This window comes from Homo sapiens, chromosome X (genome assembly GCF_000001405.40).
Source record: "Homo sapiens chromosome X, GRCh38.p14 Primary Assembly".
Lineage (NCBI taxonomy): Eukaryota > Metazoa > Chordata > Mammalia > Primates > Hominidae > Homo > Homo sapiens.
Genome location: NC_000023.11, coordinates 116,649,798 through 116,668,069, shown reverse-complemented (window position 1 = coordinate 116,668,069; position 18,272 = coordinate 116,649,798).

Sequence of the window (18,272 nt, the reverse complement as noted above, 5' to 3'; positions counted from 1 at the left end):
GATGGCAAACAGGAGGCCTGTATCAAACCTACACTGTCAGCAAAGGTCTGGATTGCTTTGCGAGATGTAGAAAGCCTGCACATATTGAGAGAGACGGGTGGGAAGGGCTTCCTGGCAAAACTCCATCTGGGCTTTGCACTGGGAAAAGTGCACACTGGGGTGAAGCCACAGAAGTTTGCACCATTTGCAGCTGTGTGACAAGGACCACTTCTTTAGCTGATCTAAGAAATAGTCTTGCAACATTTTTGGCATGCAACATGGGGGCTCAAGAAGCAGTGAGTGAAATGGGGATTCAAAACCTCTCACTGTCATTTGTAAGCCTTTTCATCCTGGGAGTTCTGAGCATAGGGGAGACCTTGCTCCTACCCCCATTGCTCCTGGGGTTTGGGAAGGTCAGCCTCGGTCTTCATGGCATTTTCCTTTCTTTTTCTGCATGGACCAGCGAGCTGCAGCTCCTTTCTCCCCTCGCCACTCCCCACCCCTGCCGGAGCTGGGACACATGGCCCAAGGGCCCTGCACTGCCATTCCTGCCAGGCGCCTTCCCCTTCCGTAGCTAAGGGGTTTAACTCCATCAGACAGTAATTAAGCTTTTCTCCAGGTGGAGGAACCAGTTGCATAAGAGTAAGAGGTTCTTCCCCAGGCATTTTTAAACTTTTTTTTCTTCCCCTTATCTACCCCATCAGCAGTTATGTTTTAAGCCAATTTTTTTTTTTAGAAGGCATTTTGCTAGGCCAGGACCCCCAACTATCACTGTTTATATTCTCTGTAAAGTTTTGGTTGTGAAAAAGGATCTTGTGGGGACTGGGTTTTCTTCTGCCTGTCTGTGTGTGTGTTGTTTGTAATGTCTGTAAAAAGAGCTCTAATTAATTTGGCCTAAAGAAAGACAAGCACTTGGATCAAATATTCCTTTAAAGGAAGATAAAAGCTGTGGTGCCTTTCATTTCACGTAACTTTAATCCTTGAGAAATAAAAACAGCCTTGAAGATTATTGGTAAAATGCAGGTGTCATTAAAATGTAAATAGCTGAACTAAATTATGCAAGTCAGATGCAAGGTTTGCTCAGTGTTTTGAGGTTACAAACTGATTTATGGGTTTTAAGAAATATTTGACTTGCCTGCTTCAGAATTGGTAAGGCTTGAGGACATATGGAACTAACCACACCCCTAATTACGCTGGAAAGCAAACCTTGGCTGTACTTAGCACACAATTAAAGCAACTTACCAGATTTTACCTTAACGTTAAAAATTACTAGGAGTTACCATTATAACATGTAATTGAAACTACTGAACATAAATTTACATGCAAGGTGTGTAAGAATAATAAAATGTGTGTTTTAGTCAAAGGTTGTAAGAAGTCATGGATATATAAATTTTTGCCTAGGGTTAAAGGATTGTTTTGAGTTAGGAAAATCTGAAGGCTCAAACAAGTGGTGGAAGGATTGTGAAAATTAATCTCACAAAGGGGTTCTCTATGTAAACATATTGACTAAATTCAAAAGGGTATTATATGACTTTTCTGTAAATTGAGCATTGAAAGAGAACAATAACAAGGTATTCTTAAGGTACTAATATGCTCTTTGGCAAAATTTGTAAAGGGTTATAAAAGGTTTTTGCTTCTTAAAAATTCTGAGTCACAGTTTTGGAAAAATAAATAATGTATGGTAATCTGAAATTCTATTTCATAATATCAAATGCTTTAAACATATTTAATAGGCTTCCCAAAATCAAACTTCAGTTTCAAAATTGTCTTTCCTGATGCCTGGCTTTTTGGATACTTCAGAGGGCCCCTACAGTGTCCAGAAAAGCAAGATAAACAGGATTATTTGACATATTTAGGTGCATGGTGTTGCCAAAATGATGTTCAATTTTCTTTAGGTTATATTTTTGTGAGTAATGCTAACATATGTTCCAAAATTGTATGGGATTTCTCAAATTCTAGTCCAAGTATATACTATCAATCATAATTAAGGTCATTATATTAAGTCATTGTAAACCACAGAAATTACCAAACTTCTTTGTCAATTGTGTTTGTAACTATCCTGGACATTTTGCTATTCATGGACAATTGTTGTCTTGTTTTATTCTTTTCAAAAGATGGTTTATAATAAGCTATAGAACTTTAACAGGTGCTGTCAAATACAAGCTTCTGAAAACTTTTGAGATTGTGACATTGGAATAAAGGAAAGTTTACAAGACTCATGAAGAGCTGATATGTTCATGAATATCATGCAAAACAAGAGTTTTAACTAAATGGACTGAACTGAGAAAGCTGAAACAGCCTTTATGACTTTTGCTTGAAAAATTGCTGGTCCACGTTTTGTTTTTCAGAGTCAAGGAAATGTATTTTGAACGATTTATGGCCTTTAATAATTGAGTATACTCCTGTGATCAAAATTTAGAGCATGTTTGTTTCTCTCTGCCTGGTTCCTCTAGAATTTGGAAACTATCTGTAAGTATTCTTAACTTACGGCAATATAGTTGTTTGTATCTGTGCAATAAGAATCCATTTTTCTTTTGCAATAGGATGCAATTGGAAAAACTGGGTATTTTACCAAGGCTTTGACTGGAAGTGTATGCTTCTCTTTAAGGAGTAAATCTCAACATGCAGAGCCAGTAAAAGCCCCATGGGAGACTGGTCTTATACCCTCATCTACACAGTCCCTGTACAGGGTTCCTGACCTGTGGTCAGTTAAGAATGTCACTTTCTAAGAGGTCCAGGATCTCCAAGTATATCTTGGGACATTAAGAGGAGAGGATCACCTAACTCACAGGTATTTGAGGATACAAACCCATGGCTGGGCTTAGCTTTAAAGGCCTCATCGGAGGTTCCTTGTGGAACAGACTTCCATCAAAGCCAATCCAAAAGGCCTGTGTAGAAAGAGTTATTCTTGCTATACTTCATGCAAATAATTAGGCCAAGTATAAAACTAAAGTCTACTTTGCAAACCACTCAGTCCTATGATTTTTTTTTAACAAAAATGAGAACTGGAGAGAGAGAAATTATGTTTTAAAACTTATCATGCATTTGTCGTTAAATTCTAAGCTTATTAGTTGTTTTTAAGTTTTTGCCTACATTTTTAGACTAACCCTGCTTGTTCCTGTGAAACAATCAGCAATATCCAGCTACATCTCAGAAATAACAAAAGGGATGGGTGATGTAGAAACCTGGGATAATATTCTAGTTCTGAGCAATTTAATTTTGCAAGACCTGCCAGGTGATAGGATGCCATCACTCTGAGGTTTTGTTTTGGGAAAGTAAGACCAAGGGAGCTAACAAAGGCCAGGCACCATGCACCCAAATCCTAGAAAGCATAACTATAGCTACCAGTTATCTGGGTGTGTCACAAGACATCCTTTTCTCTTTCTTGCTGGAGAAGGGCTCAGTTCCAGAGCTTCACCTTAGCATTCGACTTATGATAAGAAGCCCCTGCAAACCCCGCCCCCGCCAGACACATTTTCAATTCCAAGCTTTGGATCAAAGCCCTAGGAAAGAAACTGTATCTAAGGGATCCAGAGGCAGATGACAACATAGGTTAAAAGGGCACAGTACAGGTAAGCATGGCTACCTCCTGCCGATCAAGCTAAGCTCAGGCTTCCCATGTCCATGGATAAAGGCCATGCTAGTATCCATGGCATAAATGAGTTTTAGGGAATTCAAGGCTATTGATACCAGGGGAGATAGGGCATACATGGGTAAGAGTGGATGATTCCCACTCCCTAGGCAGCCCTGATTCATGTGTGCAAGCCATTTTGGCACTCATGGCGGCACCTGCCAAGGTTGCCAGGACTCAGGGATGCAGGATGGAAGAGGGAAAGAGGATGCTCTTTCTTCTCTCCCTCACGTACCCTGTGTATCTGCTCAGAAGACGCCTGCTCCCCTCTTTCTAGAGGGGTAATCATTCATCTTCAATCTGTAGCCCCCTTTTTTTGAGATGGAGTCTTGCTCTGTCAGAGTGCAATGGTGCAGTCTTGGCTCACTGCAACCTCTACCTCCCAGGTTCAAGCGATTCTCCTGCCTCAGCCTCCTGAGTAGTTGGGATTACAGGCGTCCACCACACCCGGCTAATTTTTTTTTTGTATTTTTAGTAGAGACAGGGTTTCACCATGTTGGTCAGGCTGGTCTCGAACTCCTGACCTCATGATCCACCTGCCTCGGCCTCCCAAAGTGCTGGGATTACAGGCATGAGCCACCGCTCCCGGCCCAGTCTGTACCCCTTTTGGATGCATTCTGAACCTCTGGAACTCCTTTGAAAAAAAGCATTATTATTTTTTTTCTTCTCCTTGGTTCTATCTTTACAGATAGGTAATTGTGTCTTTTTACTATGGGACACTCATGCATCTTCCAAACTGGAAAGAGTTAATTTCCCAATCCTTAAACTGGTTGGTTTAGGATTGGCCTCAGGGGAAGGGAACACAGAAGCCCAATATGTTGGCTAAATTTTTTTTTTTTTTTTTTTTTTTTTTTTTTTACCAGTAGGGCTTTTGGCCTCCCTCTTCCTGTGCAAACTGGAAAAAGGCCTTAGGATTTCTGAGCTGTCCTTATCCCTCTCCTTGTTTCATTTTATTACATGTTTTCTAACAACCTGGTTTGTCTCTTCTTGACTTCAGGCCATCAAATTCCAAAGGGTCATATAACCAGAGCCTTGGATGATGGCCCCTTCTGCTGGGAACCCTTAGATATACCTCTGAGGGAGCTCTGACTGCTGCTTCTCCCAAAACAGTGCCACCGTCACCAGGAAGCAGTTAAGATTGGTCTTCATCCTTATCTATATTTTTTATTCTAATGTCAGTTGGATGTACTGCTTTAGAGGGGGAAATGAGACAGACAGGTGGGAAGGGCTACCTGGTGAAACTCCAGCTGGCCTGCACACTGAGAGGAGTGCATACTGGGGTGGAGCTGCAGAAGTTTGTGCAGTTTTCAGCATGGAGGAGTCTGGCCCCTCTTTCTGTGTGGAACCTGGAGTTCAAACTGTGAGGCAGGAAGTGCACCAGCAGGGACTCTGGCTTTGCCGAGGGTCCCTGTTTTCTTTTTTCCCCCCTTTTCACCCAATAAAACCCTGCCTTACCCTTCAAATTGTCTATGAGCCTAAATTTTCATGGCCCTGCGGCAAGGACCCCATCTTTAGCTGAACTAAGGAAAAGTTATGCAACAATATGGTGCCTCAGACCATCTGTCCTCACATCTACAGAAAAGTTCCAACTGACGGACAGTATTGAAGCAAATAGTTACTTCCTGAGGCAAACCTAGTCTTTCATAATTTTGCCAAACCTTTGTGCAGAGGGCTAGGAGGCATTTGTCCTCCAGATTCTGAGTGTCAAAGCAGGATACAACCCAGAGGTGTATAAGCTGGGGTGGGTGAAGAGAGCTGGTTGCTCATTCTTTTTTTTTTTTTTTTAATTTTTAAAGAGTTTATTTGAACAAACAACAGTTCATGAATCAGGCAGCTCCAAACCAGGAGTGGTTTAGGAGCTCCACTGAGGAACTGCAAAAGGGAGGCTTTTAAAAGATGGACACAGAAGTTAAGCAAGTATTTGATTGGTTACAGTTAAACTGTTGCCATATTTGTTTTATCCAGTTGGAAACTCCTTCGTTATATAATTATTAGTTTATTGGCTACTTCTAATTGGTTGAGCTTAAATTCTGTTTTTTTTCTTTTAATTTTATTATTATTATACTTTAAGTTTTAGGGTACATGTGCACAACATGCAGGTTTGTTACATATGTATACATGTGCCATTTTGGTGTGCTGCACCCATTAACTCGTCATTAAGCATTAGGTATATCTCCTAATGCTATCCCTCCCCTCTCCCCCCACCCCACAACAGTCCCCGGTGTGTGATGTTCCCCTTCCTGTGTCCATGTGTTCTCATTGTTCAGTTCCCACCTATGAGTGAGAACATGCGGTGTTTGGTTTTTTGTCCTTGTGATAGTTTGCTGAGAATGATGGTTTCCAGTTTCATCCATGTCCCTACAAAGGACATGAACTCATCATTTTTTATGGCTGCATAGTATTCCATGGTGTATATGTGCCACATTTTGCTCATTCTGAAAGACAGAAAATAGAGGTGTCTCTCATTTCCCTTGCTTCTTTTAGTGAAAACTCAGGGTGTGATGGAGAGAGAAAGTGATCGTCCCTTTCTCTTCCATCTTTGTATCCCTGAGTCCTGGCGAACTTCGCAGGTGCTGGCCATAGATATCAATGCCGTATGCACCCATGTAGCAGGGAAAACCTGGAGAATAGGAATTAACCTCTCACACCTATGCCTCTATTTTCCTTTGCTGTCAACAACTTTTGAGTTTCCTGGGCCTGTTTATGCCATGGAGCATGGCCTCCTTCCATGGGGTGGGGGTTGGGGGGTTCAGTGGGCAGGAATTGGTCCTGCCTATTTACATTGTGCCTGTTGCCTGGCTTTGGATCCCTCAGACCTTATTTTCCTTTCTAGGGCCTCAGCCAGCAACTTGGAGTCAAGTTTAGGACTTAAAAGATATTTCAGGGGCTGTTTGTCTCAAATGGGCCCTGCCGACTTTGCAGTTATCAGCCAGCCAGGATCTTTACTCCATTAACTGCCCTATCAAAAACAGAGCGCTGCGGAGGAGGAGCCCTCTCACTTAGAAAAGGCAAAAAAAAAAAAAAAAAAAAAAAAAGAAGAAGAAGAAAAGAAAAAGAATTTAAGGGGCAATATGGGCAGGTCCTGGGGAAAGAACCCCTTGCTCAGTGCTAGTGGGTCCCTTTAATCCTTGTATTCTTCCCCTGGTTCAGACCGGGTGGAATTCTGTGGCCAGGGGAAAAATGTTCCTTTGGCATGGTGCATGAGAAGCACCCACCTGTCAGCCTTGTGGGGTTCCAGCGATAGCCGTGTTTGTATTTATTTATTTATTTCCCCTCATGGCTGTTGGGCGCAGCCTTTGCATGCTGTGGATATGCCCAGGCACCCGGGCTGGAAAAGGAGAGGGTGAGGGAATGTGCCCTGAGCTTTGCGTGCCCGCGGCTGTCGAGGTGGAAGTGGAGATGGTGTGCACACATGTGCTGGCAAAGCACTGGGGTTTTCTGTGGGTCAGTTCATGTTGGCAAAGTGGTGGGCAAAGGCTGTGGGCAGGTGCATGCTGGTGGGGGCCCATCTGCAAAAACTCTCTGCTCTGTAGGCAGGGTCTGCCAGTGAAAGAGCTATGACAGTGATTGCTGGCAAGCTACCCAGTTGGGCTTCTGAGGTTTCACGGCAAGCAGGTGTGGCCAGGCAGGGACCCCAGGAGAGGCTGGCAGACAGGGAGGTACTGAGATCAGACTGGCTCCTTGTCTATCTGTCCGGGTCTGATAGTCAACAAAGGCCAAAGCCACCTAGAGGAGTGTGGCAAGCCTTGTGGGGATTGGTATTCCTAGCTGTGTTCCACTGCAGCTGTTCCTGTGTCAAACCCTGTGGGCTCGTGCAGTCTCTAGTACCATCCCTTCCAATTCTCCAGGCAGCAATCCCTGACAGCTTGAATGTTTTGTGGAGTTGTGTGGTCTCCTGCAGCTAGGACTCTCTAAGTCCATGGCGATAGTGGGACACTCCATGCCTATTTAACTCATCCCTTCCCCAGAGCCACTCAGGACCAGGAAAGAGTTCTTGTGTTCAGCAACCCCATGCTTCCCAGCTTCTTCAGCCCAGGGTCTGCATTCTCCTTCCACCCATTCTCAGTGCCTTCCAAAGATCTTCTCAGAGTTGGCTGTTCCTCTTGATGGTCTTGTCTCTTGGTGGCAGAAGTTCTTCCTGGCTGCGTGTAGTCAGCCATCTTGGCTCCCAAGAAGCATATGTATTCTTAAAGCTGTTTTCATCCTCTGATAGAACTGATTTTGCATGAGTGAAATACCCTTGAGCCTGATTTTGACTTACATAGGCTTTAATTTGCATATCAACAAAATGAAACATGGTAGTCCTGCGCCCTTTTCTTCTCTACTGACTTTCTTACCTACAGTCAAAAAGACTATTCTTTTTTCATTGAATTATTTTGGCATTCTTATCAGAAAGCAATTGATCATAAATGTGTGGGTTTATTTCTACACTTTCAATTATATTTCTTTGACATATATGGCTCTCCATATTTAAGTATCACGCAATCTTGATTACAGGAGCTTAAGTTTTGATATTAACATTGTATCCTGAAAACATGCTCAATTTGTTTATTATTTATAATAGTTTTTGTGGAATCCTCATGAGTTTCTGTGTACATAAGGTCATGTCATCTGTGAGAAGAGATGTCTTACTTCTTTATAATTTGGATGACTTGTTTTTTTTGTTACATATTCTGGCTAGAACCTTACTACAATATTGAATAGAAATGGGGAGAGCAAGTAGCTTTGTCTTGTTCCTGATCTTAGTGAGAAAGCTTTCATTTTTTTACCATTAAGTATGATATTCGTTCTAGGTTCTCATACTTTTTCTTTATTAGGTTAAAGACATTTTCTTCTATTACTAATTTGTTGATTGTTTCATGGTAAAATGATGTTGAAATTTGTCAGATACTTTTTCTGCATCTATTGCGAAGATAATGGGATTTTTGTTCTTACTGCCATTAATATGGTATATTGCATTGATTTACTTATGTATGTTGAATCACCCTTGCATGTTGGGATAGATCCCATGTGGTTGTGCTAAGTATTTCTTTTTGCCTGTTGCTGGATTTTTTTCCTAGCATTTGTTTAGAATTTTATGTCTATATTTATAAAATATATTGGTCTATAGTTGTGTGGTTTTTTTCTTGTAATGTTTGTCTGGTTTGGGTATACCCATTTTATTTTAATCTCCTGCAGTTAGATATACAAGTTCACACTTCGATTGAAACTATTCTAGCAAAGGTTAGAAAATCCAATGTTCATATCTTTATATTCTTTATCACTACCTCTGAATCATTTGTTATAATTAATTTCTGACTTTTAAAAATCCTCTATTTCATCAGCATTTATCCTTTGAAGAACTAAGTTAGGAGATACCTCCTATTTGTTTTGTGCCTTAAGAATAGAAGGGGGTAAAGTTGGTGTTTGTGATCAGAAAGGATTTTTACAGAGCAGTGACCAAATTAGATAATTGCTATCACTATTCTGATTATCATAACAACAACAACAACAATATGTGTGTTAATTACTGAATTCTGCTTCTTCCATGCTAGGCACTGCATAGACAAACAAAACAAAACTTTAAGGAGCTTTTCCTCTGCATGGTCAATGAAAACAGTGTGATTCAGATGTTAAGCCATTGGCTGCTTCTCCATTCCTGATTACCTTCCATTCTCCTTGTCCAGGCTCCAAGACTCAAGTGACTGAAAGACATAGGGTCAGTGGAGTAGGCTAGTCTTTCTTGTATCTGAGTATGGAAAGACTGGCTGCTTAAATGTGATCAAGGTAACAATTATTCACTCATTAATCAACTGGTATTTATTGAGCCTCAATTATATACCAGACATTGTTCTAGGGAAAAGGAATACAGCAACAAATAAGACAAATATAGTGTATGTTGCCATGAAACTTACCTTCTTGGAGTGGCATGGATATTACATTCTATTGTGGGGTCAACAAACTTTTGGTGTAAAGGAAAATATTTCCAGCTTTATAGACCAGATGATCTCTGCCACACATATCAAGCCCTGTGGTTGTGGTACAAAAGTACCCATAGAGAATGCATAAATTAATGAGCGTGGATATGTTCCAATGCAACTTTATTTACATAAACAGGTGGTGGGCCAGGTTTTTGCTAGGGATGTAATTTTCCAACACTGGTCTAAATGCATAATCACGAATACAGGAAATGAAATGGAAGCAAAATAGGGGATTTCTTTTTCATTATAAAGGCAGGCAAAACCAGCATGAGCCTGTGAAAGTCAGTTTCCTAAGACCTTTAAATTCTGCACAGGAATGGTGAATATAAAACTGCACTGTCTTGTAGAAAATAGGGAATTATTGTGATTAAGGTGTACAAGACTTGTCATAGAACATTCTTAAATCATTTTATGTTATTATCAAATGATTTAGTTTGAAACTTTTGATATTCTGAGTCACAATTTTGGTTGCTTTTCAAGTGTGCCTCAATGAAGCACAACCTTATAATGTCTACTCTCTACACTAAAAACTCATCTCTGACATTTTATTACTGTGTGGGCCAGAGTAGACAAAACACATGTAATATCTAGGGTTTGTTCCAAGGGTAGATGAAGTTTAAATTTGTTTTTATTTTTTAATGGATTATAAAACGCATAACTTGAGCAAAGCCAAGAACAAATCAGCTACTTGGCATTTCTGAGACATTTTTGAAATGCTGGAAGTTATTCCTTGCCCAGGACTGTCATGGGAGATATGGAACCTCTGAAAAGGGTCACTTTAAACCGAGGATGGTAATAGTAATTATAGAATAATTTCTCCTTAAAAACTTCCTTTTAGATGCAGTTATTTTGAAGCAACATGTTTTATATTCTGGCAGGTTGTTTTGGTTCACAGGTGCTATTAGCATGCAGAAGTTTTGAAGCATTTTAATTCATTCTTTGATAAAGTACAAAATTTAAGACATTTAAGACAAGATCTCTTCTGTTTATATGTTCTTCTGATTCTTGTTAAAGGTCTGGTTATGCAGCTGTATGATGAGACTTGATTCTCATTTTTCTTTTTGTTGTCATCTTTGAGATGGGCATAAATAATCTTTAATTTTCTTGATTAATATATTCTGTGAGGAAAAGTGGTTTTGCCTGGTGGTTTGACCTTTGTAGTATTGAGTATGTTGGCAACATGGACATGCCTTTCTGTGAGGGTAATGAAAAATTGGTTTATAGAAAGGATGCCACCTTCAGGTAATAGGAGGGAGCAGGAAGGAAGCCTTTATATAATAACACATTAAGGGCAATTTATTTCTGCAACAAGTTTCTGTATGAATTAAATTTTTCTTTCAAACAATTGAATTGTGACCCCAGATTCCTTCCCTCTTTTCTGAACTGTGATCAGAATGTTTTTATTATTGAGGAAAGATTTATCATTCAGTTAATAAGTATTTGTGAATGTGATCTACACTTAATGTAAATTGAGAAAAGTATAGACAGTTACACCCACTGGCACACACACATAAGTTTGAATAATTAACCATTGAATTTTTCACTCTCTCCTCATTGAGAAGAAGAATCCATAAAATGATCTCAGATACTTTCCCCCACCTCCCTTAATATCTACCCTCAAAATAATCTTATTTTTAATTTTTTATTTGAGACAAATAATCAGCAGATAGATTTCTAAGAAGGCATATAAAATTTGATTAATAAGCCAAAGGTCATATTGCATAAAAGATGTAGCAGAGAAAATATTAGGAAGTTTTTGGAAAAATATTTGTGGAGAAATACTTCTCTCTAAGTAAGCATTCCTGCAACTGGGTGATTGCTTTTTGTTTGGCACGATAGAATGGATGGACAAAGAAGGCAAGTGAATAGTGCAAAAAGGGACCAGAAATTAAAGATATAGTGTAGGCCATGGAGCCAAATGGACAGCCCTCAGAGCACGCTGAAAAAAGTTTGCGTATGTAAGAAAGAGTAGTTTCTCTTCATTTTATTTCCACTATAATTTCATTTCCACTATAGCCCTTACTGTAAACAGTTGGAACCAAAATGGAATTTCCTTTTTAACAATGTGTCCTCACTTTTTCTTTATAAATCAGAAGGATTGAACAAGTAGGAAAATAATTTTCCTTTATGTCAAAGTTGTCCAAATATGAAGAGAGCTGTTTCTAAAGGTGGTAAGTTTTCTGTTATTAGTAGGTTCAACTGTAGGTTGATTAGAAGCCGCAGGGGGTAGTAAGAGCACATGGTCCAATCAGGCTCACAACTAGACCTAGTAGCACCAAAGACAGGGGGAAAGAACAAATACTCTACAATATAAAAATAGTACTATTGAAGTATTTTCCCAGTAGACATAGGCACCAAGTAAATTTATGACTGAATTATGTTGGTCTGTCCCAAATAAATCCTCTATATTTTTTAAGATGGTGGATCACTAAAGACAAAGAAAATCATATTCTGCTACAGTATCCTCCTGGGCTAAAAATGAATTTGATTTAGGAAACCAGGCTTTTTGTTTTGTAATTTAAATTTACAACAATATTTAATGCACTTTCTAGTTCAAAATTCTAAAAATAAGGAAACAATGCTTTCTGTAGAAGTAAGATAACGTAAATAAAGAGGTCTTAACATCAACAGACTAATATAATTAGAAATGTAACATGAAAATAAGACATATTCTAATGGTTTCACATAGTATCTCTGATAAGGTTTGATCAATACACAAAGAACTGCAGAATGCAATAAAAAGAGCAAGATGTGACGCACTAAGCATTTTGTTTTTAAAATGTTTTCCAAATATCCTTTCATATCTGGCTACTGACAATAAATGCCATAAATTTTAGAAATTATAATCTATTGATTTGAATAGATATTTATTCAGAAAGATATACAAATAGCCAAGAAGCACATAAAAAGATATTCAATATTATTGGTCATCAGGTAAATACAAATCAAAACTATAATGTGATACCACTTCACACCTACCAGGATGGCTAAAATCAGAAAGAAAGAAAATAAAAAGTGTTTAAAACATGGGAAATGGTGAATAGGAGGCAGAACCAACTTGCTGCTCCACTCGGATGGACAGAGCAGCATCCAGAGACTCACATGGTAAATTTTGCTCCCAGAACTATGGCAGGAACATACCATGAAAGCAGAGGGAATCCACAGACCCTTTGAAGGAGGTGGATTGCCGCTGCAGGCTCTGTAGGACAGCCAAGGAACAGAGTTTGCTTGCTTTCTCAGCTGTGAGATTTGTAACCTGGGACAAGTTTTCAGCCCTGCTCACCAACTGCCTGGAAAAAAACTCGGTGCTGTTGGGGGGTGGGGGCACGGTAGGAGTGAGACAGGCCTTTCAGGCTACAGGCCGCGTGGGAGCTGGGTGGGACCTGTGGCTGCCGGCTTTCTCCCACTTCCATGGCTATTTGTGTGATGCAGCAGAGACAACCATAATCCCCCTGGGAACACTTTCATGGCTATTTGTGTGATGCAGCAAAGGCAGCCATAATCCCCCTGGGAACATAAAATCCACTGGCCTGGAAACCACACCCTATTCCCTACAGCCATTGCAGCAAGCCCCACCCAAGGAGTGTGTGAGCTCAGACACGCCTAATGGTGCCCCCACCTGATGGTCTTTCTCTACCTGCCCTGGTAGCCAAAGACAAAAGACATATCTTGGGAGCTCTATGGCTCTGCCCACTGCCTGACCCTAGGGCAATCTTGTATCCTTCCTATACTACTGCAGGTGATTCACTCTTGAAAGTGCACCCTCCTGGCTGCAGGCCAACAAACACAAAAGCAGAACACTCAACAAAAATACAACCAAGGTCTCTCAAAGAGCCCACTTCATTCCCTTGCTACCTCCACTGGAGTAGGTGCTATTATCCACAGTTGAGAGCATTAAGATGGATCACATCACAGGACTCTTTGCAAACACTCTCCAGTACCAGCCCAGAGCCCAGTAGTTCTGCTGGGGGGTTAGATCAACAAAAGAAATAAAAATAACTGCAATTAGGCTCTCAGAAAGCTCTATCTCTAGGGGAAGAAGGGAGCACTAAATGAAAGGAGCACCCTGTAGGACAAAAGAATCAGAACAGCAGCCCTTAAATCCCAGATCTTCCCTCTGACATAGTCTATGCAAATTAGAAGGTAATATGGTAATATGACAAAACAAGGTCCTTTAACAACCCCAAAAGATCACGCTAGCTAACCAGCAATGTGTCCAAACCAAGAAGAAATCTCTGAATTGCCAGAAAGAGAGTACAGAACATTGATTATTAAGCTAATCAAGGAGGCATGAGAGAATGGCAAAGTGCAACTTAAAGAAATAAAAAAAAAAGATACAGGATATGAATGGAAAAAATCTCCACTGAAATAACATAAACAAAAAAACAATCACAACATCTGGAAATCAAAAACACACTTAGAGAAATGCAAAATGCACTGGAAAGTCTCAGCAATAGAATGGAACAAGCAGAAGAAAGAACTTCAGAGCTCAAAGAAAAGGCTTTTGAATTAACTAAATCCAACAAAGACAAAGAAAAAAATTTCTAAAATGAACAAAGCCTCCAAGAAGTTTGGATTATGTTAAATGACCAAACCTAAGAATAATTGGTGTTCCTGAGGAAGAAGAGAAATCAAAAAGTTTGGAAAATGTAATTGAGGGAATAATCAAGGAAAACTTCTGTGGCCTTGCTGGAGATCTAGACATACGAATACAAGAAGCTCAAAGAACACCTGGGAAATTCATTGCAAAAAGATCACCTAAGCACATAGTAGTCAGGTTATCTAAGGTCAGGATGAAGCAAAGAATCTTAAGAGCTGTGAGGCAAAAACATCAGGTAACCTCTAAAGGAAAACCTATCAGATTCACAGCAGATTTCTCAGCAGAAACCCTACAAGATAGAAGGGACTGGAGTCCTATTGTTAGCCTCCTTAAACAAAACAATTAGCAGCCAAGAATTTTGTATCCCACAAAACTAAGCTTCATAAATGAAGGAAAGTTAGTCTTTTTCAGAGAAACAAATGCTGAGATAATTTGCCACTACTAACCCAGCACTACAAGAACTGAAAAAAAGACCTCTAAATCTTGAAACAAATCCTTGAAATGCACCAAAATAGAATCTCCTTAAAGCATACATTTCACAGGACCTATAAAACAATAACAATTTTTTTAAAAGGTATTCAGGCAATAAATAGCATGATGGATAGAATAGTACCTCACATCTCAATACTAGCAATGAATGTAAGTGGCCTAAATGCTCCACTTAAAAGATACAAAATGGATAAGAATTCTCTAACCAAGTATCTGCTGTCTTCAAGAGACGCATCTAACACATAAGAACTCACATAAACTTAAGGTAGAAGAGTGGAAAAGGATATTCTGTGAAAATGGACATCAAAAGCAAGCCAGAGTAGCTATGCTTTTTTTTTTTTTTTTTTTTTTTTTTTGGGTACAGAGCCTTGCTCTGTTGCCCAGGCTGGAGTGCACTGGTGCAATCTTGGCTCAGTGCAACCTCCACCTCCTGGGTTCAAGTGATTCTCCTGCCTCAGCCTTCTGAGTAGCTGGGATTGCAAGCACCCACCACCATGCCTGGCTAATTTTTGTATTTTTAGTAGAGACGGGGTTTCACCATGTTGGTCAAGCTGGTCTTGAACACCTGACCTCAGGTGGTTCACCCATCTCGGCTTCCCAAAGTGCTGGGATTACAGATGTGAGCCACTGCACCCAGCTGAGTAGCTATTCTTATATCAGACGAAACAAACTTTAAAGCAACAGCAGTTAAAAAATACAAAGAAAGACATTGTGTAATAATAAAAGGACTAGGCCAACAGGAAGGTACCACAATCCTATATATATGTGCACCTAACAATGGAGGTCCAAAATTTATAAAACAATTACTACTAAACCTAAGAAATGAGATAGATGGCAACACAATAATAATGGGGGATTTCAATACTCCACTGACAACACTAGACAGGTCATCAAGACAGAAAGTCAACAAAGAAGCAATGGACTTAAATTATACCCTAGAACAAATGAACTTAACAGATATTTACAGAACATTCTACCCAACAACTGCAGAATAGACATTCTATTCATCAGCACATGGAACATTCCTCACGATAGACCATATTATAGGCCACAAAACAAGTCTCGACAAATTTAAAACAAATGTAAATTATATCAAGTACTCTCTCAGACCACAGCTGAATAAAATTGGAAATCAACTCAAAAAGGAACACTGAAAACCATGCAAATACATAGAAAGTAAATAACCTGTTCCTGAATGATCTTTGGGTCAACAAAGAAATCAGGATGGAAATTAAAAATTTATTTGAACTGAACAATAATAGTGACACAACCTATCAAAACATCTGGGATACAGCAAAAGTGGTGCTAAGAGGAAAGTTCATAGCATTAAACGTCTACATCAAAAAGTCTGAAAGAGCACAAATAGAAAATATAAGGTCACACCTCAATGAATGAGAGAAAAAAGAGAGAAAACAAACACAAATCTGGAAGAATAAAAGAAATAACAAAGATCAGAGCAGAGCTAAAGGAAATTGAAACAAAAAAATACAAAAGATAAATGAAACAAAAAGCTGATTCTTTAATACATACATATATATAATTGATAGACCATTAGTGAGATTAACCAAGAAAAGAAGAGAGAAGATGCAAACAAGCTCAATGAGAAACAAAACAGGAGATAGTACAACCAATACCACAGAAATACAAAAGATCATTTAAGGCTACTATGAACACCTTTATGCATATAAACTAGAAAACTTAGAGGAGATGGATAAATTCCTGGAAATATACAACCCTCCTAGATTAAACCAGGAAGAAATAGAAACTTTGAACAGATGAATAACAAGCAACAAGATTGAAATAGTAATAAGAAAATTGCCAATGAAAAAAAAGTTTAGGACCAGATGGATTCACAGCTGAATTATACAGACTTTCAAAGAAGATCTAGTACCAATCTTATTGGCACTATTCAAAAAGATAGAGAGGGAATCCTTCCTAAATCATTCTATGAAGCCAGTATCACCCTAATACCAAAACCAGGAAAGGACATAACAGAAAAAGAAAATGACAGACCAACATCCCTGATGAACATAGATGCAAAAATCCTCAAAAAATTACTAATATAATCCAACAGCATATCAAAAAGATAATCCACCATGATGAAGTAGGTTTTATGCCAGGGATGTGGGAATAGTTTAACATACACAAGTCAATAAATGTGATACACCACATAAACAGAATTAAAAACAAAAATTACATGATCATCTAAATAGATGCAGAAAAAGCATTTGACAAAATTCAGCATCCCTTTATAATTAAAACCCTCAGCAAAATTGGCATAGAAGGGACATATCTTAAGGTAAAAACGGCCATCTAGGACAAACCCACAGCCAACATTATACTGAACAGGGAAAAGTTGAAAGCATTCCCCCTGAGAACTGGAACAAGACAAGGACATCCACTTTCACCACTTCTATTCAACATAGTACTGGAAGTTCTAGCCAGAGCAATTAGACAAGAGAAAGAAATAAAGGGCATCCAAATCAGTAAAGAGGAAGTCAAACTGTTGCTATTCACGGATGACATGATCGTATACCTAGAAAACCCTAAAGACTCATCCAAAATACTCCTTTAACTGGTAAATGAATTCAGCAAACTTTCACGATACAAAATTAATGTACACAAGTCAATGTCTCTGCTATACACCAACAGCGACCAAGCTGAGAATGAAATCAAGAACTCAACCCCATTTACAACAGCTGAAAAAAAAAAAAAAACTTAGAGATATACCTAACCAAGGAGGTGAAAGAGCTCTACGTGGAAAACTACAAAACACTGCTGAAAGAAATCATAGATGACACAAACAAATGGAAACACATCTCATGCTCATGAATGGGTAGAATCAATATTGTGAAAAAGACCATACTGCCATAAGAAACTTACAAATTCAATGCAATTCCCATCAAAATACCATCATTCTTCACAGAACTAGAAAACACAATCCTAAAATTCATATAGAACCAAAAAAGAGCCCACATAGCCAAAGCAAGACTAAGTAAAAGAGCAAATCTGTAGACACCATATTACCCAACTTCAAACTATACTATAAGGCCATAGTAACAAACATAGCATGGTACTGGTATAAAGATAGGCATATAGACCAATAGAACAGAATAGAGAACCCAGAAATAAAGCCAAATACTTACATCCAACTGATCTTTAACAAAGCAAATAAAAACATAAAGTGGGGTAATGACACCCTATTAAACAAATAGTCCTGGTATAATTGGCAAGCCACATGTAGAAGAATGAAACTGGATCCTAATCTCTCACCTTATACAAAAATCAACTCCAGTTGGATCAAAGACTTAAATCTAAGACCTGAAACCATAAAAATTCTAGAAGATAACATGGGAAAAACCCTGTAGACATTGGCTTAGGCAAAGACTTCATGACCAAGAAACCAAAAGCAAATGTGCCATAAACAATGATAAATAGATGGGACTTAATTAAACTAAAAAGTTTCTCCACAGCAAAAGAAATATAGCAGATTTAACAGACAACTCACAGAATGGGAGAAAGTCTTCACAATCTATAGATACAACAAAACACTAATATCTAGAATCTGCAAGGAACTCAAACAAATCAGCAAGAAAAAATCAAGCAATCCCAT